The sequence below is a fragment of the Homo sapiens genome, chromosome 5 (assembly GCF_000001405.40).
Source record: "Homo sapiens chromosome 5, GRCh38.p14 Primary Assembly".
Lineage (NCBI taxonomy): Eukaryota > Metazoa > Chordata > Mammalia > Primates > Hominidae > Homo > Homo sapiens.
Window position 1 is genome coordinate 178204533 of NC_000005.10, and position 26110 is coordinate 178230642.

A 26110-nucleotide genomic window follows, 5' to 3' on the forward strand; every position below is an offset into this window, starting at 1 on the left:
AGGCGGCGGCACCGCGCGGGACGGAGCTTGGCTGTTGGTCGGTGGGTTCCCGTGCGGCGGCGGCCAAGGAGGAGGAGACACAGTTGGAGCAGCTCCGTGGGCTGACTGGGGCGAGGCCTCAGCAGCGCGAGCTTGAGTGCGGCCGAGCCTGCGGCGCCTTCCCCTGCGGGTGGGGACGAGCGGGCCCCGCGGCGTCATCGGCGGCGAGGTGAGCGGCGGCCGGCGGGCGGGAGCTCTGGCGGGAGCCGCGCCGGCCTGACGCGCTGTCGCCGCTGGTTGCAGGAGCCGCCGCGCCTCGGCCTAGCATGTCGGAAGCGGGCGAGGAGCAGCCCATGGAGACGACGGGCGCCACCGAGAACGGACATGAGGCCGTCCCCGAAGGCGAGTCGCCGGCCGGGGCTGGCACGGGCGCCGCGGCGGGGGCTGGAGGCGCGACCGCGGCGCCCCCGAGCGGGAATCAGAACGGCGCCGAGGGCGACCAGATCAACGCCAGCAAGAACGAGGAGGACGCGGGGTAGGTGCGGCCGCGGGCGGACGGGGGCGCCGCCTTTGTTCCGGGGCCGCCTTTTGTTGGCGCCACGCGGCGGGGGGAGGGGCGGCGGCCTGGCCCGGGTCGGGGCTGGTGCGGCCCGCGGACTGTCGCCGCTGCGTTCGCGGGCCGGGCCTGGCGCTGCCACTCGCGCTGGAGTTTGCGGGAGTTTGTTGGGTCGACTTTGGCGCCGCCCCGGGGCCGCTCGCGCGCTGCCAGGGCCAGGGCCAGGGCCGGAGCCGGCGCAGGGGCGGGCGGATGGCCCGGAAGAGGGAAAGCGCTCGGACCCGGGGCCCGGCGGCGTCTTGGGCCGCGCCGGCGGCTGCGTGGGCGGAGTTGGCGCGAGCCGGGGCCCGGACCTCCCTCCTCCGCCTCTCCCGGGGGCGGAGTCACGGTCTGAACCCTGGGCGGGCTTGGTCCCCGGAAACATCGAGTTCCTTGAAACGAGTTCTCAGGAGTTGGTGGAGACGCTGGCCCTTTGCTACATGGTTGTAGAACACATGAATTTCCAGTTATGAGTGGTTAGGTCCCATACCCCTGGTGAGGTGGTCCCTTCTTTGCTTCTCACAGGCTGGGGCTGCAGAGCCTTGTTAAGCCTCGTTAGGGTCCTGGTTGAGTTCAATTTGGAGGGTAGTGGAGATTTAACATCTTTCTAAGGTGCTCCTTGCAGACTCTAAGGGTAGCTGTAGACTTCGTGAGAACTTTGCCAGGGCCAGTCCTTTCCAAAATCACAGCTTGCTTACAAGACTTGTTGCCGTGTGTCTCACCCTACCATTTCAGAAAAATGTTCGTTGGTGGCCTGAGCTGGGATACTAGCAAAAAAGATTTAAAAGACTATTTTACTAAATTTGGAGAGGTCGTTGACTGTACAATAAAAATGGATCCCAACACTGGACGGTCAAGAGGGTTTGGGTTTATCCTGTTCAAAGATGCAGCCAGTGTGGAGAAGGTAAGCTGGGTACTGGATTTCAGCAGTCTCAGTGGAAACGATTTGAATTCTAAGAGGACACCTTTCTTAAAGCATGACTAGTTTGTGTGGTCTGCATGTGATTTAAGTGCTTTGGGCAAAACCCAAAGCCGGAGGTTATGTTCCGGTTTTTGAGGGGATGAAAATACAGATTAAGCTGGGAGTGAGAGAATGTGCTGGAGTGGTTCGGGAAGATGACAGTTGACATTCATTACCTTTTATGTGCCTATTCTGGGTACGGCGCTAAACATCTGGGAGGATTACAAGAGAGTCCATGATTGGTATGATAGGCTTTTAGCCCCATTTTACAGGACAAAAACCAAAACCCTAAGGCTCAGAAATGTAAGTAGAAGAGGTCACAGCTAGTAGGGAGTGGAGGGAGGATTCCTTCCCCTGTGGCCCATCTTCAGCCTATGCTCCGAGTCCCTGCTGCTTCGCTTCTGGAGATGGGCCTCACGCTGGGACTGCTTGGGCAGGAAGAGCATGATCAAAGGCTTAAGTGTGAGGACTGTTTTCTAGGTGTCGAGGTAAACCAGCTGTACTTGAGGTTTGATGAAAATTGGGTTGGGAGGTTAAGCTGGGGTAGAATTTGGAGGGGGTGAAACACATGTTTGTATCTGTACTGGTGTCTTTATGGCTTAGAGAGAAGGGCCTTGTCTGGCTCGTGCTGCTGAGTCAGCCTGACCCCTTTCTGTTGGAACAGGTCCTAGACCAGAAGGAGCACAGGCTGGATGGCCGTGTCATTGACCCTAAAAAGGCCATGGCTATGAAGAAGGACCCGGTGAAGAAAATCTTCGTTGGGGGTCTGAATCCTGAAGCCACTGAGGAAAAGATCAGGGAGTACTTTGGCGAGTTTGGGGAGGTGAGTGTGGCTCTGGGAATAGCCCATCAGCTGCCCCTAAGGCTGCCTTCTTTCTGGTCCTTGGTATCCTTGGCTGGCTAGACCCTCCCAGGCAGGGCTTATTTTTCACCCTCTGTCTTCAATGGGGTCTTTTCTCCTGTGAGTCCCCTATATGCTCTGGGGTAGGGAGGTATTGGGCCTGAGTTTGCCTATGCTTTTTGCAGATTGAGGCCATTGAATTGCCAATGGATCCAAAGTTGAACAAAAGACGAGGTTTTGTGTTTATCACCTTTAAAGAAGAAGAACCCGTGAAGAAGGTTCTGGAGAAAAAGTTCCATACTGTCAGTGGAAGCAAGGTAAGGTGTTCCCAGCTCTGCTTGGCCTCCTGTGCTGCTGGAGAGCTGGCCCTTAGAGGGATGGGTTAGGGGTTGGGCCTCATGCAGGAGCTCTCCAGGTTGGTCAGACTTTACTATTTCTCTGAAGCGTATGCTGCCCTGATTGGGGCAGTGTTCCAATCCTTGAAAGACTTCTCAGGCTGGGAGGACTGCCAATAAACAACACAGGATGTGAGGGAGGTAGGAGAAGGTGGCCTCTGTGAATAGAGCAGGTTGAGTAGCCTCTTTAGCTCCTCACTTAAAGCTAGAGGTGACAGTTCTAGATTCTTGAGTCCAGGGGTATGAAGCCTGCAGTTTAAGGTCTCAGAAGATCCTAGAACTTCTGCAACTCACTGATTCTCCTCTGTGGTGAAGTTTTTCTTATTCCAGAGCCTTTCTACCTCCTTCTACAACCAAGTCTTTGTCCACTTCCATCCACTTTGAGCACTTTTTTTTTTTTTTTTTTTTTTTTGCTTTGAGACAGAGTCTTGCTTTGTTGTCCAGGCTGGGGTGCGGTAACACAATCATGGCTCACTGCAACCTTGACCTCATGGGCGGACCGGATCCTCCCATCTCAGCCTCTCGAGTAGCTGGGACCACAGGCATGTACCACCATGCCTGGCTCATATGTTTTTTTAAAGCCTGGTCTCACCATGTTGCCTGGGCTCAAGCCATCCTCTGCCTTGGCCTTGTAAAGTGTTGGGATTACAGGCATGAACTGCCTCACTTGGTCTTCTGGGCACCTCTTTAAGTTAACCCTAAACCCAGGCAAAAATCCTTCCAAAGATCTCCCAGGGTCCTGGCCAGCTTAAATCCAGGGTCAGTTGTGCTTTCAAATGAGTGGATTCATGTGCAGGGAGGTGTAGCTCTTCCCCTCCTGAACTCTGGTCAGGGAAAGGGTAGTTCAGGCTTCAAGTTGGCAGTTGGGAGTTGAGGGTGCGGCCTGCAGTGGCAGGGTGTGGCAGGTTCTGTTTCTGAGCAGGAGTTGGCAGCCAGATAAGGTGGGACAGGTGGAACTCCTGGAAGTCTCTATCCTGGCTGGGAGTTTGGAAAGAGTGGATTAGGATAGTCTTAAATTTTCTATAAAATGACAGTCTTTGAGGCAGTTAGGGGAAGCAGTGGTTATTACTCCAGTGGACAGTGATAGAGGCCTTTTTCTCTATGTGCCATAATGGGAAATGGGTGGGAAGAGCCTCTAAGGCAGAGTTTAAGTGAAACTACTGGTAGTGAGTCTTAGGAGTAAGTATATTTAGTTGGTTATATTCAGTATTTTTAATTTAGTAGGATAGAATATATCAGATTGCATTATTTTAATTTGCCAATTAAAAGTATGACTGGGACACTGTAAAATGTACTATTTTTAATGGGTGTGCATGTCAGGATTTTCTTTAGAAATACACTGGTCTGGTCTAATTTATTTAAGCAGGAGCACTTTAAAGTATCCCACCCTACCCCATTCCACCCCCAGTGGACAGAAAGGAAATTGACTGACTTGAGGGGATGCAGACATCTGGGTTATTCCAACAGACCAGTGGTTAGGAGGAGGGGGTGGGTAGCATTATGGCCTCGGGCAGGCCCCCCCACCCTGAGCCTCTGAAAGCTGACTTTATCTGTAAGAGGGAGGTCAGGCTCGCCTTCTCAATAGCGTGTATTTGGATGAGATGAGTTTCTTCTGTAAAGAGAAAAAGATGTTAAAACCTCATTGTCTAAGGCCCCTCATCTGAGAAGTCTTGTCTGACCCTCTAGCCCAGCAGGACCAAGGTGTGGTGCCTGGTCCCAGCCTGTCCTCTGCTCCCCTGGGCTGCAGTTGGCCCAGTTGCCTGCCTCCATTAGATACGGAGTTGCTCTGGGGCTGAGATGCCCATCTCAAGTGCATTCTGTCGGAAGGGTTCTCTGCTGGAAGGCCTTTGGTTTTAGTTGGGATTCCATGAGCTTTAGCCCAAAGGTGGCCTCCCATACTAGCATATTTTGTTTCTCAGCAAATGGACCTGATCCACCATTTGATGTTTGTCGCAGTGAAGGTGTTTGGGCAGTCACTGCCCTGAGTTTGTCCTACTGGCCTGACCACTGTCCTCTTGACTTTTAGTGTGAGATCAAGGTGGCCCAGCCCAAAGAAGTCTATCAGCAGCAGCAGTATGGCTCTGGGGGCCGTGGAAACCGCAACCGAGGGAACCGAGGCAGCGGAGGTGGTGGTGGAGGTGGAGGTGAGTGGAACGTGGATGAAGATAGGTCCTGTTTCCCTGCCTACATGGAGCCTTCCAAGCCTGTCTTGGGGCTCCCTCTGGTGCTGTGCAGCAGGGGTGGGCAGATTGTGTGAGGTTGGGGACGAACAGGAATAGGAACGGCTCTGGGTCAGGGCTGTATGCTTGAGGCTGTTGCCTGCTGCTGCCCCTTGGAATGGCTTGGGTGCCCAGGGCAGAGAGAGCATTTGTGTTACACTCTGGGGGAGGGGATGTGATGGGTGTCTTGGCTTTGTGGATGTCCTGAGTCTGGTACACCTGTGAGCAGGTAGGCAGAAGGGTGGGTAGGGCAGAGCTGTGCCAGGCATTTATCCCCTTCCATCCCAGGCCCCTCTGACTCCAAAGCCTGAACTGCATCTTTTTAAAGGCTAAGCTGCCAAGGAGAGTGGGAGTGATCAGAGAGTGACTGAGTGAGTGAGCTGCCTTGTTTGCCCCAAGTAAAGTTAGCATCCTGGTCTCTGATCCTCTGCTTGGGTCTCTCAGATGCAGGGTTGGGCCCAGGGCCCTTATACACCAGAACAGCAGCCCCTTGGCTTCTGCCTGAGTTGCCACAGTAACCCTGCCACCCCAAAGGGCAGGATTTCCTCCATCCTAGCTCCTGCGTATGCTAAATGGTCCACGGGCCCCTGTGCCCTGCTCCCCCCACAGGTCAGAGTCAGAGTTGGAATCAGGGCTACGGCAACTACTGGAACCAGGGCTACGGCTACCAGCAGGGCTACGGGCCTGGCTATGGCGGCTACGACTACTCGCCCTATGGCTATTACGGCTACGGCCCCGGCTACGACTACAGTAAGTAGGAGAGAGGGAGGCCCCATCCGCTCACCCCTCGTCCCCAGGGGAGGCAGGACAGTGTAGGAGCCACTGGCAGCAGGGGCTTTGGAGTCAGACAGGCCTGGCTCAGCCATGGGAGCTACTTGATTTTGAGCCTTAGACTTCGGGGTCTTAATAACATGAGGAAGGCAGTCTCTGCTGTCACGGCTGGTGAGGGTCCTGGGAAGATGCATATCAAGCGCGTGGCACAGGGCAAATGCTTGTAAATAGTAGCTGCTATGGTTGTTCTCGTCCCTAGGTCAGGGTAGTACAAACTACGGCAAGAGCCAGCGACGTGGTGGCCATCAGAATAACTACAAGCCATACTGAGGCGGCAGCAGGAGCGACCAACTGATCGCACACATGCTTTGTTTGGATATGGAGTGAACACAATTATGTACCAAATTTAACTTGGCAAACTTTCTATTGCCTGTCCCATGTGCATCTTATTTAAAATTTCCCCCATGGAAATCACTCTCCTGTTGACTATTTCCAGAGCTCTAGGTGTTTAGGCAGCGTGTGGTGTCTGAGAGGCCATAGCGCCATCATGGGCTGATTTTTATTACCAGGTCCCCCAGAAGCAGGTGGGAGGCTCTGCTTCCTGCTGCCGCTCTGCAGCCTGGACCTGTGGACCCTGGTTGTAAAGAGTAAATTGTATCTTAGGAAACCAGTGTCACCTTTTTTTCACCTTTTAATTTTATATTATTTGCGTCATACATTTCCTGTAACGGAAGTGTTAATTTTACTGTACTTTTTGGTACCTTTTGGGAATCTAATGTATTGTAAGGTATTTTACACGTGTCCTGATTTTGCCACAACCTGGATATTGAAGCTATCCAAGCTTTTGAAATAAAATTTAAAAACCCCCAAGCCTGGGTGAGTGTGGGATATGCTGTGTGAGACCTCTTGCTCAGGGTCGAGGGAGGCGGGGGGGGGGTGCCAGGTGCCCTGGACTTGGGGCTTTCTCCTGCAGCAGGCTCTTCCAGCTGCAGGCCCAGTTGTGGGGGTATCCTTTAAGGACTGCCCTGCCTAGGGCTGAGCCCCCCTTCAAAGAAAGGAATGAGAGGCCTATGGGGAGTGAGGATGGGGCAGTGATGAGGGCTTACATCCCCAGCAGGCATGTCCCCTCCTGGGACACCTTGGAACACCAACCTTCTTGGCTGATGAATGAAAAAATGGGATTCTTTACACACTAGGGCAGTGCCAGGGCCGTCTGAATTGGGGCACAATAGTGCTCCTCCTGGCTGGTGAAGAAAAGCCTGCTCTGGCAGGGGATGTTTATTGGCTGGATTGGAGCCCAACTCCAGGTCTGGTATTTAGGGCATAAGACTAGGTGGTTACAAGAGGCAAGGGTGGGTTGGGGTTCCACGTGGATACAGCCCCATAGGTTTCAAGGGAGGATATAGCTGTTCCTGCCATCAAGTGCAAGCTAAGCATTGGAGAATTTCCAGTGTTGAAGAAACTAACCTTTGGGAAGGAGCATCAGTCAGAACAAAAAAAAGTCTTAAAAAAAGGCTCAGCTTGCCGAGGCTGCTTGCTGCTGATGGTAAGGAACCCGCTGTGCATCTTCAAGAGTAAGAAGCAAGGCCCACTCACCTGGAGTACACTTAGGCAGAGCAGGGCTGGCTTAGGGCTGGAGCCTCAGCGTTTCACAACTTCTCACCTTCTCTTCCATGTCTGAAAAAGACCACAAAGCAATGCCGACTCAGTCACCTTTCTCTGCTGAAGATGCCCTGTTGACTTCAGTGTCCAAACTGGAGGACAGTTTAGAGATTGGGCCCTCTGGCTATCCACACCCATGTCCCATTCCCCAAAGGGGTGGCAGCAGTTTCCTGAAAAACAAAGCCAGCCCTCAGTTCTCCTGAGATTTGTAGGCTCTGTCCAGGATCCCTAAGCCTGTTCTGTGGCCAGCCTTTGCTCTCCACAAACACACTCCTATTCATCATATCCCTACCACTTCCAATTTGTGTCTAGCAGGGATGGGCCTCCCCCAGCTCCAGAGCCCTGGGATTAAGCATACCTGTGGGTAGCAGTGATCACCCAGAGGTAGGAGGGCACAGGTTGCTTGGCTGGCAGTTGTGATCTCTACTGTGAGATGCAACTGTGCCTATTTAGGGTCTCACTGAGCTGTAAATGGCAACACAGCCATGAGATTTCCTTGTAAGTGGATTTAGGGGGAACCCTGGGTTGACCACGACCATCCTAGGTGATGGGGAATGTGGGGTAGAGTTTTCATTTTGAGTTCCGTCAGTCCTCAGTGGTACCAATCTTTCAGCCACCCAGCAGCCTTGTGTGACCTGTCTCATGTACAGAATGAAACTCCTGCCATCTCTACATCCTAGGCTGGCGGTAATGGGGTCTCAACTCCCACTGTAGTTCTTATGGCCTGTTTCTCAGGCCCAGTACTGCTTTGTCCTGCATACATCTGATGCCTGCTCAGGCAGGCTGGGTGGTGGCTCACCTTCCACCTCCTGACAGCCCAGGAAGCTCTCTTAGGTACAGGCAGGAATAGGAGCAGATTGGGCCATGAAAGACCCTCTCTTGCTCCCTGCCCTGTCCAGAGGACATGTGCCTCTGCTCTTGGACTCTTGTCCCCTCCCTGTTCCATGCTAGGAGGCTCTAGTTGCTGGCTTCAGGCTGAGTTCTAGAGATATGGCCAAGCTCAGGCTTCAAGCTCACCAGTCAGAATGGCATCCAGCTTTGCCACCACCTGCCGTGCATTGTCCAGGCTGAAGCACATTGGGGGCTTAAACTTCAGGATGTTCCTCCCAGGGCCATCAGTGCTCAGCAAAACGTAGTTCTCCTTCAGCCTGTGAGGACAGGACACCCCTTCACATGGCCTTCAAGGCCTTCCTCAGCCTGGCCTTGGCCTCATGTCCAGTGCTCCAGCCACACTGTCCTCAGAGCCTTCCATGGGCCAGTTCCTGCCAGGTCATTTTACTGGTCACCTCTCCCAGAGTCCTGTGCATCTGGCCCACAGCAGCCTGCTTGGAGTGCACTGCACCTGGCCCTGAGCCTGCTGCCCCACAGAACAGGCACCTTGCCTCACCTAACCCTGGAGCCACAGTCCAAGCCAAGAATGAATGGCCACAGGGAAACGCCAGACTGCAAGAGTCACCTGCATTCTCTGGTTTTCTGTGTGGTTTACGTGATGTATATTGTTTCCTTATATAGAGAATGTCCAACATTGCAGTTGGTGTAATGAGCTCCACGTGCCCCTCACCAGCTTCAGGCATCTTCCTGCCCTGTCTTCCGGGTTATCTTACAATTCCAGTTTAAAATGTCCAATTATTCTTAGGAAGATGGCTTTATCTTAACATCATTTGTAGCTAATAATCACTTTTAGTCCACAGTCTAACCTCATCTCTGAGATGAGGGGTCTGCATGATTGTGTTTATATTCTTTGATCATTGTTCCCCTTCTTTTGTAAACCTTGTTATTTTTATTTCTTGGGGGTGGGGAGTGTGCCTTCTGGTTTCATTTTCCTGTCCCAGTCTTCCTGGCACTGACCATGGCCACGCCAGAAAGAACAGGGCTTGGACTTTGGAGTTAGACGGCCCTGGGGCCAGATCTAGCTCTTGCCACCTAGCAGGGTAACTGCAGGTGACTTACCCATTTCCTCACTGAACTGGAAAAGCACCCCCAGGGTATTGTGAGACACGGGCTGAACTTGGGATCTGTTTCCTTCCATGCCACCTGACCATTCCGAATCCCTGAGGCTCCTGGGAGGGGGGTAGGAGTAAGCTGGGGATGTGACTGACAGCAGAGAGAAGGCGGGACCAGGAAAGGCCAAGTTCAAATACAGCACAGAGATTTACATCAATACCACGCGTGTCTCACAATTTGAATAAGGACACGTCAAATACCAGAAGAGCTTTCCATGGTGGGCGTGGGGGAAGGGGTAGGCCTGGGGAATGGAGATAAAAGGGAATAACAATTCAACTAGAAGGAGAAGAAGTCCTGAGGACTTGGGGTCCAAGTGAAAGGACAAGCAAACCAGGGCATTGGGACCGGTGGAGTCTGAGTTCTGAGACACCCCCGACCCAGCTTAGGAGCAGGAGTCTTGTCCATCCCAACCACCTGTCGTGCGGCATGGGAACCCTGAGTCTAGTGCTGCCACAGCTCCCTGGTATGAATAGAGAAGGTGTTTCCCTTCTCCAGGCCAAGGTGGCATTAGGGGTTCCTGGGTCTGAGTGCCCTGCTAGCTTGGGCATTCTAGGCAGAGGTGCTGCTCTGGTCTGGGAATAGCCTGTGTCTCATCTGCAGCCTTTGTAGTCAGGCACTGGGTACAGAACTGCTAACACCACTTATCTCTGTCCTCAGCTGATAGGATCAGCTGTCCCCCAACAACTGCCCCCACCCGCCAGCCCCAGCCCTCTTTCAATCAAGTCTGTGGCCCAGAGTGCTGGGGGTACAGATGAGGCTCCTTTCCACTGGCCCTGCAAAGAGGTACCTGTGGTGTCTCCTACTCCAGGAAGCAACTTGTTTCAAGAAGAAAATACCTTGATACCAAGTAGGCAGCCTCTTCAGTTGCTGGTGTCCTTGTGGCCTCATCTTTGATCAGATCCACACCAATGAAGAGCCCAACACCCCTGCAAGGGAAGGTGACGACATCTCAGGAGGCCAGGCCTGAGGGGCCAGGGTGCTGGCCTCAGCCTCTGGGCTCCTACCTGTGCCTCCTGAGGGGGCTGAGTGCAGGAGGCACCTTCAGAAGGTGGTGAGAATAGTTTCAGGGAATAACTGGGCTGGGAGAGATCTTTGGTGTGGACAGAGGAGAGAGGCTCAGGGGTAGCTAGGGATCAGGTCATGTCCTAGCTTTCTCCTCCCCAGGAGAGCCGTTTTGGGCAATAGCACCTCTCAGTGTCTCAGTTCCTCTTGAGAGCGGACATAACCCCACCATCCCAGGTTGTTAGGAGGTGAAGAAAATGGTACCACACTGGGCCTTGGCAGGTGGGTGGTGACTGCTGCCCCCAGAGCCTCACCTGACATCCCCGACGATGGGATGTTTGATTTTTTGCTGCCCGAGGAGCTGCATCAGGAAGCTGCCTACACTGGTGGCATGATCCTGGAGCTGCTCCTTCTCCAAGACATTCAGGACGGCCAGCCCCACAGCGCAGGACACTGGGCTGCCCCCAAACTGAGCCAGGGACAAAGAACATGTCAGATGCCCTGGCAGAGTGGGCCATGCCCCAGAGTGAGGGTGAGGCAGAAGAACTGCCACACGTGTTCCAAGGCCAGTGGCAAGAGCAGAGGCCCCAAACCCCTTAGGGCGCACAGTCCTCAGCAGTAGTAAGTGGGGTTCAACATGGGCTGTCCTGGCTTTCCAGGAGCTAATGTGACTGCAACTCAGGTCAGGTATCCCTGAAGTACAGTAGGAGCCCCTAGAAGATACAGAATCAGAGGAGAGGGTGTCCTGTTTGTTCCCACAGGGCTAGTCTTTACCAAGAGAGGCTTTAAGGCCCCATCTCCTGGGCCCAGACCCAGAGGACTGGATTAGGCACTTCCTCCTCCAGGGAGAGTGAGCGCAGCACGCCAAGCCCCACCCAGGAAAAGCTGCTTCACACCCCTGGAGGGCTCTGGCTCCTTTCCCTCGCCCACCCTGTCCTCATCCTGCAGGTATCTGAGTGGAGACCTGTGTTTTAGAGGATCACGAGCAAGGTGTCTCCTGCAAACCACGTTTTTTGTTTCGTTTTTAAACTACATCTTTAAAAACATCAGCTTTGTTGAGGTATAATTTATATATAAACTGTGTTTAAAGTATAAAGTTCAACGTGAGGTGACAAATGTATGTACCTGTGTAACCTCCCTCGCAGTGAAGTTGCAGAACATTTTCATCACTTCCTGTGCAACCGTCCCGCTACTACTGGACCCAGGCATCCACTGATCTGCTTTCTGTTACTATGAGATGGCTACAGGGGGCTTTGAAAGGCTGTGACGTACTCCTGGGAGTCTAGAAGGCCATTCATATGCATAGGGATGTGCTTATGCCCAGTGCTGTGTGCATGCTCAGGTAAGATCTAGAAAGCCCTAAGCTCTCACCACTGGCTACCTTGAGCCTCTGCAGAATGAGGAAGTAAAGTCTAAGGCAGTTATAAACTCTTGGCTGAGTGACTTACGGGTTCCAGGCAATTAAGGAGATCTAATGGTTAGAGGACCACTAAGCTAATCAAGCAGAGACTATAGTGGCCACACATGACAAAGAACACAACTTTACATAATTAGTTCAGAAAAGACATTAAACAAGAAAAAGGAACCACCATGGGGAGGGAGGAGAATATGATTTCCACAGTTGCCACATTATGTTACTTAAAATGTCCAGCTTTTAACAAAATTCTGAAACATGCAAAGAAGCATGGCCCAGACACGGGAGGAAAAAAAGCAATCAATGCAAACTGCGCCCGAGGAAGCTGACACTGACCTTACTGGATAAAGACTTTAAATCAGATGTTACAAACATGTTAGCTGGGTGCAGTGGCCCATGCCTGTAATCCCAGCACTTTGGGAGGCCAAGATGGGTGAGTTGCCTAAGGTGAGGAGTTCGAGACCAGCCTGGGCAGCATGGTGAAACCCCATCTCTACAAAAAATAAAAATAGCCAGGCGTGGTGGCACATGTGTGTACTCCCAGCTGCTTGCGGGGTGAGGCAGGAGGATCACTTGAGCTCCAGAGGCTGAAGCTGCAGTGAGCCAAGACTCCAGCCTGGGCAACAGAGTGAGACCCTGTATCCAAACAAGCAAACAGAAACAACCCCAAAACCAAATATGTTAAGAGACCTAAAGGAAACTATACTTAAAAAATTGAAAGCAAAGCATGAAAATGATGTCTTACCAAAACAGAGTCTAATGATAGATAAATTATTAAAAATCAATCAGAAAATTTGAAGTTGATAAGCACAATAAATGAAATGAAGCATTTACTAGAGAGGCTCAACAGATTTTTTTTTTTTTTTTGAGACAGTCTCGCTGTCACCCAGGATGGAGTGCAGTGGTGCGATCTCAGCAAACTGCAGCTGCCGCCTCCCAGGTTCAGGCGATTCTGGTGCTTCAGCCTCCCAACTAGCTGGGACTATAGGTGCATGCCACCACATCTGGCTAATTTTTGTATTTTTAGTAGAGACGGAGTTTCACTGTGTTGGCCAGGCTGGTCTTAAACCCGGGACCTCAAGTGATCCGCCCACCTCAGCCTCCCAAAGTGCTAGGAAATTACAGGCGTGAGCCACTGCACCTGGCAACAGCAGATTTAAGCCGGCAGATGAAAGAATCAGTGAAAAAAAAAAAAAAAGTCAGCCGGCCGCGGTGACTCACACCTGTAATCCCCGCACTTTGGGAGGCTGAGGCGGGTGGATCATGAGGTCAGGAGATCGAGACCATCCTGGCTAACATGGTGAAACCCCGTCTGTACTAAAAATACAAAAGATTAGCTGGGCATCATGGCGGGCGCCTGTAATCACAGCTACTCGGGAGGCTGAGGCAGGAGAATGGCGTGAACCCGGGAGGCAGAGCTTGCAGTGAGCCGAGATCACACCACTGCACTCCAGCCTGGGCGACAGAGCGAGACTCCGTCTCAGAAAAAAAAAAAAAAAGTCAATTGAGATTGTCCAGTCTGAAGACCAGAAAGAAAAAGGAATAAAGAAAAACAGTCATGTCTGGGCGCGGTGGCTCACGCCTGTAATCCCAGCACTTTGGGAGGCCGAGACGGGCGGATCACGAGGTCAGGAGATCGAGACCATCCTGGCTAACACGGTGAAACCCCGTCTCTACTAAAAAATACAAAAATTAGCCGGGCGTGGTAGCGGGCGCCTGTAGTCCCAGCTACTCGGGAGGCTGAGGCAGGAGAATGGCATGAACCCGGGAGGCGGAGCTTGCAGTGAGTCGAGATCGCGCCACTGCACTCCAGCCTGGGTGACAGAGCGAAACTCCGTCTCAAAAAAAAAAAAAAAAAAAAAAGAAAGAAAAGAAAAACAGTCATATAGACCCAAGGACACAAGCATACCAACATGCAAATGACTGTCCCAGAAGGAGAGGAAAGGGGCAGAACAAATATGAAAACGTTAAAAACCCTATGTAACTTGCAGTGAATTGAATGTTTGTGTCTCTCCCAATTCATGTGTTGAAATCCTAACCTCCAATGTGATGGTATTAAGAGGTGGGGCCTTTAGGTTATTAGGTCACAAGAATAGAGCCTTCATGAATGCGAATATGGTTTTCTAAAAGAGATCCCAGGGAGTGCTCACCCTTTCGACAATATGAGGTACAGCGAGAAGCTGGCTGTCAGCAACCCGGAAGAGGACTCTCACCAGAACCCCAACCATGCTGGTGCCCTGATCTTAGATTTGCAGCCTTCAGAACAGTGAGAAATCTGTTTATAACCCACCCAGTCTATGGTATTTTGTTATAGTTATAGCATCTTGAACTCACTAAAACATAACTTTTAAAGAAGTTAAAGCAGCAGTTAAATATCTTCCCACAAAACACAAGGCCCAGATGGCTTTATAGGTGAGTTTTTACCTTCAAAGGACAGATCATCCCAATTTTATGTAAAAGAAAAAGAAGAAATATTTCCCAATTTATTCTATAAGGTTAGTAGGACCCAGTTACCAAAACCCAAGGTATAAGAAAAAAATTTGAGCCAACATTTTACTCCTGAAAACAGAGCAAGACTCCGTCTCAAAAAACAAAAAAAAGTAAAGGAAAACACTGTAGTATGACATGCACAAAGGATGTAATTGGATTCCTGATTCACATCGTGTACAAAAATAAACTCCAGATGGATTAAGGACCTATATGTCAAAACAAAATGTTAAAAGACTTAAGAGGAAACATAAATGAATATATTTTATAACTTGGAGTAGGGAGAGATATCTTAAACAATATATGAAAAACACCGTCTATAAAACAAAATGATAAGAGTTGACAATGTTAAAATTTAAAACTTTATAAATATGTAAAGGGAGTGAAGACAGGTTATAAACTGGATGAACATATTCACAAATACACAATAGACAAGGGATTAGCATAATAGATATGTATGTGTTGGTATATACACACACACACAGACACACACACATACAAACAGACACAAAACTCCCACAAATAAAATTAAGCACTGGTAACTCAATAAAAAAAAAATGGGCAAAAGACACAAAAGACACAAATAGGCATTTTTTTTTTTTTTTCTTTGAGATGGAGTCTCTGTCGCCCAGGCTGGAGTGCAGTGGCGCAATCTCGGCTCACTGCAAGCTCCGCCTCCCGGGTTCACGCCATTCTCCTGCCTCAGCCTCCCGAGTAGCTGGGACTACAGGTGCCCGCCACCACGCCCGGCTAATTTTTTCTATTTTTCAGTAGAGATGGGGTTTCACCGTGTTAGCCAGGATGGTCTCGATCTCCTGACCTCGTGATCTGCCCACCTCGGCTTCCCAAAGTGCTGGGATTACAGGCGTGAGCCACCGCACCCGACCACAAATGGGCATTTCATTGAAGAGCAAACAAATGGTCAATAAACATATGAAGAGATACTTCACGTAATCTGAAATCAGGGAATGGCATATCAAGACCATACAAGCTACTGTTTTACGCTCCACTTGACTGGCAAAAATTAAAAGGCACTGAAGAAGATATAGGCCGGGTGCAGTGGCTCATGCCTTGTAATCCCAGCATTTTGGGAGGCCGAGGTGGGCCGATCGCTTGAGCTCAGGAGTTTGAGACCAGCCTGGGCAACATGGTGAAACTCCATCTGTACCAAAAATACAAAAAATTAGCTGGGCATGGTAGCATGCACCGGTGGTCCCAGGTACTTGGCAGGCTGAAGTGGGGGGATCACTTGAGCTCTGGAAGTAAAGGCTGCAGTGAGCTGAGATCGCGTCACTGCACTCCAGCCTGGGTGACAGAGTGAGACCCCGTTTCAAAAAAAAAAAAAAAAAAAGAATGCCGGATGCAGTGGCTCATGCCTGTAATCCCAGTGCTTTGGGAGGCTGAGGCGGGCGGATTACCTGAGGTCAGGAGTTCAAGAGCAGCCTGACCAACATGGAGAAACCCCATCTCTACTAAAAATACAAAATTACCCAGGTGTGGCGCATGCCTGTAATCCCAGCTACTGGGGAGGTTGAGGCAGGAGAGTTGCTTGAACCCAGGAGGCAGAGGTTGCAGTGAGCCGAGATCGCGCCACAGCACTCCAGCCTGGGCAACAAGAGTGAAACTCTTGTCTCAAAAAAACAAAAACAAAAAAGGATATACACTATATACACTACTGGTGGGGTGTTAACTTGTGAACTACTTTAGAAAACAAATGTCATTATCTTTTAAAATGAAGGGTAAACACATACCATATGGGCCAGCAATTCCACCCTCAGGTACAGTCCTAAGAAAAACTCTTGCTACATGTACAACAGAGACTTATGAAAACTATTCAAAGCAGCACTGTTCATAATTGCAAAAAAAAAAAAAAAACAAAAAAAACATGGAACGACCTCAAAGCACAGCAATAGTAATGGATGACTGAACTGTGGTACATTTATACAAAGATTATAAAGCAGTCAAAGCAAATGAACTTCAGTGACAGGCAATAGGGAGGATTCTTAGTGATATGTTAGTAGAAAAAAAAATCCCCAGAGTATATACAGCATGATAGACTTCATATAAACTCAAATAACAACTAAATAATATGGGATTGAGAGTGATGGTTACCATGGTTATTCAGAGTGATGGGTGGAGAAGGCAACAAGAGGGAATTGGGGGGAACATCTGGAGAGATACATGATATTATCAAGGTCTAAGCTTTCATTAGGGATGCTGGCTTCCCAGGTGCTTAGAACATTAATAAAGGTTAACTGAATAACTAGAAGAGGGCTATGCACAGACAGATGTTGAGAGTCTTCCATGAACCAAGGATTCTATCTAATTATGTACACTTGAGGGTCAAGTAAAACAAAGAAATAAACAAAAGTCAGGATGCTGCTCCACTGGGCCTTTGTTGTTCCCCTTACACAACCCACTTGATTTCCTGCTCAGCCTTCCAGACTGAGATCTGGTCTTGCCTTCTCTATGAAGCCTCTACTGCTTGTCCCACAGCTCTTCACCCACCTCTTGCCTGGGATGTCCTTTGTGCTCTCACAGCACCGTGAACACACTACTTCCACTCATCCTCCACGCTGTCATGACCATGTGTCTGTGAGCCTGTCTTTCCCCGACAGTGAGCTCCTCTGAGGCTCTATGTGTCACATGGACAGAGTGATGGTTTTTGGCTGAATGCACCAAAGTGTCACTTCCCTCACCCCTAAGGACATTATCTTGCCTTATCTATCTTGCCAAATCCTGACATGTTTTAGTCCCCAATTCAAACTGGCTCTTTTTGAGGAACTTACAGTGAATTCTCAACCCTCTGTCCCTGCCCTTCCTCCTCTGGGCCTCCTCCTCTCCTCCCTGGATCAGTCTGCCTTCCTCCAGTTCTTTCTCCACACTGAGCACCAGAGATCTTTCCAAAGAGTACTCTCTCCAGGATTAAAACCCTCCTGTGGTCCTCACTCTTCAAGATCAGTGAGACTCCTCGGCTCTTTCCTGTGGGGCTCGTGCTGCCATCCTCTCACCTACCCTGCAACTGCTGCCTCAGGGCCACTGAATATGCCATGTGTCAGCTTCACTCAGGGAAAGCTCTTGACCCTGTACCCCAAAGACAGGGAGCCACTGCAATGCGAACTCTGCTCTGAGATCATGTGTTACCCAAGCACACCACACTCCTCACAACTCTTAACCAGCTCAAGTTCCAGCACCTGACACAGGGCGTGGCACAGAATGGGTGGCATCTGCTGAAAGGAAGACAGGGACTCCTATTTTTGTATATATTTTATAAGACATGGTCCCTTGTGACAGCTTTTGGATTGACACTAATTTTAAAAGATGTTTTATGTTTTCTTACCTGACCTGGCTATAATCTCCTTAAGGACAGCGTCTTGGAAGCGTGTGCTGGGCACAGTGCTAGCCCTGTAGCCTTTGCTGACTAAGGACAGGCTGATCACCGGGGGCCTATCAGAACCCATGTTGCTCCCTTGACTTAGAGCCATCACTCACCGTGTTGAAGTACTCAACGCCGGTGGCTTCAAATGCCCTCGCCACAGGCTGGGTTGCGGCCACGCAGGCAACAGGGTGGCCGTTGCCAATGGACTTGCCCATGGTGACGATGTCAGGGACGAAGTCTTTTCCCTGGAGCTGGAAGGCCCAGAAGTGCTTGCCTACCCGGCCAAAGCCAACCTGGATCTCATCTGCAACAAAGACCCCTCCGGCCTTGCGGATGTGCCTGTGGCAGAGGAGATGACTGACACGGGGGCTGTGGTTGAGAGGGATAAGATCAGGACCCAGGAGGTCTCGGGGCTTTGCACCCTGGCTCTGCCAGCAGTAAGGTGGGGACCTTGGGCAATGGCTGGCCTTCTCTGGGCCATTCTTTCTTTAAGGGCTTTGTCTCAAAATTCTGGCAGTCAGGACAGGCTGAGGTTGGGATTTGGACCAGAGGTTGGAAAACCTCATTAGACCCCTGCCCTCCCTAGAGCAGACCCCGCCCACCTACTCACTCTGCCACTTGGGAGAAGTAGCCAGCAGGGGGAATGATCTGCCCTCCCACACTGGGCAGAGACTCAGCGAAGAAGGCTGCAATCTGTGAAGAGATGGACATTGGGAACACGACCATGGGGTTGTGCAGTGACCGGCTTAGCGTGCCCTGCTAGTGCTGGCTTAGTCCAAGCAAGACAAGTCACCATCAGTGCTGCACCCCTACTTTGGGTTCCATGTTACATCTGAAGGTTTGTGACTCAGTTTTCTCTCAGGCCTCCAGCCAACTCTTACTACCTGGATGCCTCCAGGCCCCTAGTACTTGGCATGCCCCAAACTACATGCACTGATTTTTCCACCATAAGCCAGTTCCTTCCCTGTCCCCCATTTTTGATCCACGCCTCCTCCCTCAACCCATCAGTCAGCACTGCCCAAGGATTCTACCTCAGCCCCCTCTCTAAACCTACTCCTTGCCCTCTGCCTGGACATGCCTGCCTCCTGCAGATTTGCCTGTTTCTTCCTTGGACTCCTGCAGAGGTCTTCTAACTGAATGCCTTTTCCAGTCCATCCTCCACATGGCCACCAGGGTGATGATGCCTCAACCCAGAGAACTGAGCATGTCACTGTTGTTTAAAACCCCTCAGTGACCCCTTCTGCATATGGCAATGATTTCCCAACCATATTCTGCCTTACAGGTGGGAGGGCAGGGCCAATGGGATGGGATACTGGTCCCCCACACCTGTTGCAATCAGAGCAATCTCCTTTTTTAGGTTTTATAGAAGTGGTCGCAGAGCACCTGAAACACACAGGCAAGGCTCCCCTGGTCGGGTTCTGCTAACCTTTCTGGCCCCACAGGCTGCCTTTCTTTGTCGTACCTCCTGTGTCTGGCTCTGTCACTCCTTCAGTGAAGCCTTCAGAGAGCCCTCACCTGTCGCCAACAGTCTTCCCTCTGTTGTCACCGTAGGTAACACACCTCTCTCTCCTATGTCTGCGCCTCCACTCCATCTCCACCATACTGCCCCCGTCAGGCCTCCCCACAGCTCACTTGGGGCCTGCTGGCCACTTCACGGTCACCTGACCTCAAGCCGCCGCATTCCAATCCATCCTCCACATAGCCCTGGAGTCAGAGAGCAGCCCCGGCCCCAGGTCTTAGCGCTCTCCTGCTTAAGACTCTGGTGGTTCCCGGGGGCCTCCAGGGCAGAACTGCTGCCGCCCAGCATAGTTCCGGTGCCCTCTGGCATGTGGACCCTGCCTGCCTCTCCAGGATCAGCTCCTGGCCACACATTCACACGGTTCCTCAGCCACCCAGTGGGATGCCCTTCCTCTGCTACTCCCCACCCCACCTGGAGTGGCTGACCCCTACTGTGTCAGAGAGCACCCCCTCCAAGGACCCCGCTTGGTACCTCCCAAGGCCTGCTCAGGCTCTGGCTGGCTACCACGCCCATGCTAGGCCGTGCACTCAGACTCTCTGCTGAGCCCAAACTGCCCCTATCCCAGATTCCTGGAGGGCAGGGCCTCGTTTGGTTTTCTCTCTGGGTTCCCAGCATCTAGCACAGTGGCGGTGACAACGGAGGTGACATTCACTGTTGGCTGGATTGGACAGGCGCGGACACGGTTACCTTCCTGCCCTTCTCCTGTGCACTGCTGACCACACGTTTCACCTCGTTGGCATAGGCCATAGCTGGGTTGGGGTGGTCCTCCCGGTAGGGGCCCCGGTAGGTGTCTGGGAGAGGTGCCTGTGGGGAGTGACAGCGCCATGTTATCCGGGCTTGGGGACAGGCACCGACCTGTTGTTGAGTTGGGCAGTGCATACCACGTGGACCCACTCCTTCTGGCCATCCAGGTTGCGGAACTTGTAGGGACTGATGTCAATCAGGGAGCTCAGGTGGCCGTGATACGCACTGGGGAGGAGAAGGGAGGGTAGGCTCGGGTCCGGGCAGCACCTACTCCCTGGCCCAGTCTGACCATCGTCTCCCCACCCCTGAAGACACACAAGGGAGGCCAACTTTCCTGACAGAGCCCCCAAGTTCTTGGGCTGGGAAAGAGCACAAGCTTTGGAGTCAGCAACAATTCTTGCAAGACTGCTGACTGGCTATGTGACAGCAGCTCATCATTTAATCTCTCTCGGTTGTTTTCTCTGCTGTGAAATGAGGTGGGATTTCCTCCTTCTGGTTTATAATGAATCTTAAATGTGTTGATATTGTCAGCCTCGGCTTTGTGCACATCACATACTCAATTCATGGGAGCTACTGCTGGAGTAGTTTGAACATGTACAATGTTGTGGGACCACCTTTGAGTCTCTTACAAAGCGCACTCTGCTCCCCAGAGCTGCCTTCCCAGAATGGTGGCCCAGGGTGACAGAGCCTCTGGGAGGTCTCAGGCCTGGTCCTCTGCCTGCCACACTTGTCTTCAGTAGCCCAGGCCCCTTATCCTCCCTGCCTAAGGCACCCAGAGTCAGTCTCACGGATCACCAAGAAGCCTGTGGGCCAGGCTTCTGGGAACGGTAGGGCTGTGAGTTGCACTTACTGATCTAATACCACCACGTCCTGGTGTCCCGTGTAGTGGCGAGCCAGCCTCAGGGCCAGGTCATTGGCTTCTGACCTATGACCGAAAAGGTGGGCATGACTGAGAGAGTAGTCTAAGAGCTTCCCAGAGAGAAATGCTGAGGGCAGGAGGACCCTTCCAGCAGCAAGAAGATTCTCAGGACATCAACTAGTCAGTCACTTGCTTGTTTGTTTGGTATATATCAAATGCCTCCTATGTACTAGAAGCTGGGGGAAAAAGAGTAGGTAAAACAGACATGGCCTTGGCCCTTCTGGAATTTACATTCTCGTATGTGTCATGAAAGTTGTTTTGAAAAAACCCAAACCATTGTTTTTCCTCTGCTTTCACACTACAACAATCAACACAGAAGACTTCTGTGACTCCAAAAAATATGTAAGGATTTCTCCCCACCACCAGGCAAGCAATCAGTTCTGCAGCGGACACCAGTTGGGTGTCCTCCAATTCAATTCCAACACTATCTACCTAGAGACAGCATCAGATCCCACAGCATGAGGGCTCAATGCCCAAGCTGCCCCACAGCCCCCTGGGCACCAGTAGCAAGTCTGGGCCTCTGGAACTTCTTTTTTTGCAGAGATGGGGTCTCACTATATTGCCCAGACTGGGGGCTCAAGCATTCCTCCCACCTCGGCCTCAAAGTACTGGAATTACAGGCATGAGCCACCATGCTGGCCACCTTTGGAATTTCTTTTTTTTTTTTTTTTTGAGACAGTCTCACTCTGTTGCCCGGGCTGGAGTGCAGTGGCGCGATCTCAGCTCACTGCAGCCTCTGCCTCTCAGGCTCAAGCAATTCTCCTGCTTCAGCCTCCCAAGTAGCTGGGATTACAGGCGCCCACCACGATGCCCAGCTAATTTTTCGTATTTTCAGTAAAGACAGGGTTTCACCATGTTGGCTAGGCTGGTCTCAAACTCCTGATCCACCCGCCTCGGCCTCCCAAAGTGCTGGGATTACAGGCGTGAACCACCGCGCCCGGGTGACCTTTGGAACTTCTGACCGACTGGCTTCAAGTTGAGGTTCCCACAATTCCCTCTGTAGGTTCAATTTGCTGGAGTGGCTCACAAAACTAAGGGAAATACATTTACTGGTTTATTATAAAGGATATTATAAAAGATACAGATAAAGAGATGCATAGGGTGAGGTATGAAGGAAGGGCATGGAGCTTCCTGTGCCCTCCCTGGGCGCACCACCCTTCTAGAACCTCTGTATGTTCAGTTATCTGGAAGCTCTCTGAATCCAGTCCCCTTGGTTTTTATGGAAGCTTCATGACAGCAGCATTCCTTCTAGCAGGATATGGGGTGGGACCGTCTCTGGAATGAGTTTTATGACCCACCATCAGAAAGGTAGGGAAGATTAGAGTCCTGTCTTGGGCAGGTAAAAGGAAGGGCAGGAGGTTAGAGTGATTGTCTCCTGAGGCCTGACACACCCAATGTTGTAACAAAAGAGTGTAACAAGGGCTGTGGGAGTTATGAGCCAGGAACTGTGGACGAAAATGAATGCGTGTGTTTGTATATATGTGTGTCTGTGTATTTATATATATATGTGTGTATATACAAATACACACACACACACGCCACCACAAAGCCAAAAAAGAAGAAGTGATCATTTTTCTAAGTGCTACGATGGATGCCCTGGGAGAGCGAGCCAGAGGGGGCATGTTTATGGGCTGAGCTGCACCCCCCCACCCCCAATTTATGTGTTGAACCCCTAATCCCCGGTAGCTCGCAATGGCCCGTATGTGAATGGATATGGAGATAAGAGAGGTGATTACATTAAGATGAGGCCGTCAGGGGGCCCCTCATCCAATCTCACCAGTGTCCTTATAAGAGAAAATCTGGACACACAAAGAGACACCAGGGACACCTGCACTCAGAAGACCAACCAGGGCCATCTCCAAGCCAAGGAGAGAGGCCTTAGAAGAAACCAACCCTGCGAACACCTTGGTCTTGGACTTCCAGCCTCCAGGACTGTGAGAAAATAAATGTCTTTTGTTTAAGCCACTCAGTCTCTGGTATTTTCTTATGAGAGCCAGAGCAGACCAACACAGAGGGTCAGGGGAAGCGTCTATGGGGAGGTGACTCATGTACTGAGTCTTGAGGGAGAGGTTTCCAGGCAGATGGAGCAGCATGCTCCAAGGCCTTGTGAAGGAAAAGAGCTCAGTGTGCTCCGGGAACCAGGAGAAGATGAGGGAGGCCAGGGCCTAAGGAGGGCAGGGTAGGAGAGGAAGTGGGGAGACATGCAGGGGACATGTGCACAGGGCTGGGAAGGAGCCTGAGTTTTCTTCTCAGTGCCATGTGAAGCCACTGAAGAGTTTTAATGAGAAAAGGGACATAAGTCAGCTCCTATTTTAGGAGGTGGCCTCTGGCTGTGTCTAATGGAGTTGACAAGAATAAAAGTAGAAGGAGAAGACCAAGGAGGAGGACGCCAGGTGAGAGCAGGTGGTGGCCATGGAGATGGAGAGGTGGAGGGAGTTAAGAGGCATCATGGAGATGGAGGAGGCAGGATTGATGCAGGACTGGGGAGCGTGTGGTTTCTGCCTGGAGCAGATATAGGTGGTGATGCCCTTTACAAGGCAAGATGAGCGGGGGTGAGTGGGGATAGCCTTCTTGGGCAGGTGAGGGAGAACAGTACCATGGTCCAATCAACCCTTGCCCTTTTGAACACATGAAGCTGGAGATGTTTGTCAGATGTCACAGGGGCAGTTAGAACCTCGAGTTGGAACACATGGGACATGTCTGGGCTCAAAAAAATTTGTGAGTCACCAACACATGGATGCTATGTAATACCAAGAGAATGGAAGAGATCACCTGAGGAGAGGGCTCAGAGAGAAAAGTGGCCCAGGATCAGCCCCAAGGAACAGAGGAGGAATCAGCAAAGAAGACAGGGAAGGAGTGGCTAGAGAAGCTGATAGAAAACAGGAGAGCACAGTGCCCGGGAAGCAAGATGACAGACCACTTCCGGAGAGTGGTAACTGTCAATTACTGCTGGGACAGAGTAAGACAATGCAGCAAAGAGATTGCTTTGGATTTGGCAACATGGAAGTCCCTGGAATCCACACAGAATAAAGCTGGTGGCATAAGAATGCCCCTCCTCCACCACCACTGAGGAAGCACCAGCTCCCTTCTCTTTCCAGAGGCTCCAGCTCTTGACATGGCAAATGTCTGGGCTCAAGTTCCTTTCTTTGAACTGCTGTTACCCCACCTGTAAAATGAAGATGGTGAATTCCACTTCCTAGAAATTATCTGGGGGGCAGATGTCTGTACTGTGTGAGTGGCCACAGTAATCATCACTATAATTCAACGCCACCACCTACGATTTGTTGGAATGTTCTCTCCCAGATACACTGTAATCGCCTGCCTGTTTGTCTCCACTGCCGATCCTAGTGTGAGCTACCATGACCTTTCACCTGGCCACTGAACTGGCACCTAACAGTGTCCACTCTTGCACTCCGTTCCCTTTAAGACATCGTTTCCTGATTAAAGCCTCCGATAGTTTCCCAATGCTCTTAGGATAAAGACAGCTTCCCCACTTGGCGGAGAAGGCCCTAGGTGATGCGCCCTGCTTGCCTCCCAACAGCTCACAGCCTCTGCTTTCCCTTCGTGGACTTCTTTCGGTTCCTCAAGTGTGCTGGGTACCATATCCTTTCCTGCTACAGGGCCTTTCCACAGGCAGTTCTGTGTGGTGACCAACCTTGACAAGAGTTTTGATGAGACTATTTTTTTTTTTTTTTTTTTTTGAGATAGAGCCTCTCTCTGTCCTGCAGACTGCAGTGCAGTGGTGCAATTTTGGCTCACTGCAACCTCCGCCTCCCGGTTCAAGCGATTCTCCTGCCCCAGCCTCCTGAGTAGTTGGGATTACAGGCACCCACCACCACGCCCAGCTAAATTTTGTGTATTTTTAGTAGAGACGGGGTTTCGCCCTGTTGGCCGGGCTGGTCTCAAACTCCCGACCTCAGGTGATCCGCCCACCTCGATCTCCCGAAGTGCTGGGATTACAGGCATGAGCCATCGTGCCCAGCCTTGACGAGACTTCTGATGCAGTGGCAGCACCCTTCCTTCCTCCTCTTCTAGTTATCTCCTAGTCAGCTCTGAGCTTAACAGCCCTTCCTCAGGGAAGGTTTCCCTGAACCCCCAGGTCAGGTCCCCTCACTTTTTCTAGGCCTCATGATACCCTGTACACTTCCTCCAGAGCCCTCCTTGCAATTCTGTATTTCTTTGAAGAATCACTTGATGTTTTCCTTCCTTACTGAGCAACCCACAGGCAGGGATTTTGGCTGTATCCTTAAGGCAGAAATAAAGGAACATATTACCTCACTAAGCTCCAGCAATGATCCTAGAAAGGAGGTAATAACATCCTTCAATAAGAGACAAGGAAACTGGATCCAACAGAGAAAGCATCAGGGCCTACAGCCGGGAATCTCAGGAGCCTGGTGCAGTGGGGGCTGCCTCTCCGAGTCCACACTCGGTCAGCTACACTACACTGGGCCCATGTGAGTGACTGTCTTTGTTACCGTCTCACCCTCTTCCCGGGGGCTGGCCACAGTCCACTTACCCAGAATTCAGGAAATAGAACACACAGAGCTGCTCCGGCAGGGTCTCTGACAGCCTCTGCGCATAGTCCACGATGTTGTCATGCAGGTACCGGCTGTTGGTGTTGAGCACCTGGTTCTGCTCATGTGCTGCTTGGACCACGAGAGGGTGGCAGTGCCCAACTGGAAGAGGGCCGCCTCCGTCACACGGCTGGCTCCACTCAGCCAGTCCCACTGGGCCTCCCCCAGCCCCAAGCTATAAACCCAGCCAGAAGAGATGTAGTTCTAGAGGGAGAGGTAGAAAGAGGGCAGTCTGAAGGCAGAGCAGGGAGAGAGAAGCTGGTTCTGGAAAGGCAGATCCAGGAGTTCCTGAGATTCTGGCAGAAGGAAAGCCGCTTCAGCAGAAGAACCCTGTCTAGAAAGCCCATGTCTTTAAGGAGGACTTTTTTTTTTTTTTTTAACAGGGCCTTACTCTGTCACCCAGGCTGGAGTGTATGGTGTGATCATGGCATTCACTGCATCCTCACACTCCTGGGCTCAAGTGGTCCTCCCACCTCAGCCTCCTGAGCAGGTGGGGCTATAGACACCAGTCACCATGCCTGGCTAATTTTTAAGTTTTTTTTTGGTAGAGACAAGGTCTCATTATGTTGCCCAGGCTGGAAGGCCTTTTGAGGCTTGTATGACAAAGGTGGGGTGGGGGGTGACTGTCAACTGGTTTCACTTCAC

At 51.3% G+C, this 26110-nt stretch overlaps 2 protein-coding genes across 41 annotated transcripts in view, besides 4 other annotated features; one reads left to right on the forward strand and one right to left on the reverse strand.

Moving 5' to 3' along the window:
• Window positions 1–6631, forward strand: HNRNPAB (heterogeneous nuclear ribonucleoprotein A/B). 6 transcript variants are annotated; one of them, NM_031266.3, is made up of 8 exons: window positions 1–208; window positions 283–514; window positions 1310–1478; window positions 2200–2358; window positions 2562–2693; window positions 4798–4915; window positions 5600–5740; window positions 6021–6631. In NM_031266.3, exons 2-8 carry the CDS (start codon window positions 306–308, stop codon window positions 6089–6091), a joined length of 999 nt encoding a protein of 332 aa, NP_112556.2. In that variant the 5' UTR covers window positions 1–208; window positions 283–305; the 3' UTR covers window positions 6092–6631. The 6 variants fall into 6 exon arrangements, with proteins under 6 accessions (NP_112556.2, NP_001424886.1, NP_004490.2 ...); NM_001437957.1 differs by having other exon boundaries at window positions 1–514; NM_004499.4 differs by lacking the exon at window positions 5600–5740.
• Window positions 185–404: a silencer, noted in NCBI's record as "silent region_16715". NCBI's record gives its function as "represses an Ori minimal core promoter by ATAC-STARR-seq in GM12878 lymphoblastoid cells {active_cell/tissue: GM12878}" and the evidence as "EXISTENCE:reporter gene assay evidence [ECO:0000049][PMID:35858748]".
• Window positions 425–534: a silencer, noted in NCBI's record as "silent region_16716". NCBI's record gives its function as "represses an Ori minimal core promoter by ATAC-STARR-seq in GM12878 lymphoblastoid cells {active_cell/tissue: GM12878}" and the evidence as "EXISTENCE:reporter gene assay evidence [ECO:0000049][PMID:35858748]".
• Window positions 565–974: a silencer, noted in NCBI's record as "silent region_16717". NCBI's record gives its function as "represses an Ori minimal core promoter by ATAC-STARR-seq in GM12878 lymphoblastoid cells {active_cell/tissue: GM12878}" and the evidence as "EXISTENCE:reporter gene assay evidence [ECO:0000049][PMID:35858748]".
• The window catches only part of PHYKPL (5-phosphohydroxy-L-lysine phospho-lyase), a 25679-nt gene continuing 2180 nt past the window's right edge, over window positions 2612–26110 (reverse strand). For 2 of the 35 annotated variants that reach the window (XM_047417837.1, NM_153373.4), the window contains 11 exons: window positions 25408–25567; window positions 20823–20897; window positions 20110–20197; window positions 19916–20032; window positions 18320–18402; window positions 17823–18048; window positions 10744–10898; window positions 10264–10353; window positions 8441–8571; window positions 7358–7438; window positions 3939–4383 (listed from right to left, as the gene is read on the reverse strand). In XM_047417837.1, coding sequence (XP_047273793.1) covers window positions 7389–7438; window positions 8441–8571; window positions 10264–10353; window positions 10744–10898; window positions 17823–18048; window positions 18320–18402; window positions 19916–20032; window positions 20110–20197; window positions 20823–20897; window positions 25408–25567 — 1175 coding nt within the window. In that variant the 3' untranslated portion in view covers window positions 3939–4383; window positions 7358–7388. 35 annotated transcript variants of the gene reach the window in all.
• Window positions 8444–8553: an enhancer, noted in NCBI's record as "active region_23742". NCBI's record gives its function as "activates an Ori minimal core promoter by ATAC-STARR-seq in GM12878 lymphoblastoid cells {active_cell/tissue: GM12878}" and the evidence as "EXISTENCE:reporter gene assay evidence [ECO:0000049][PMID:35858748]".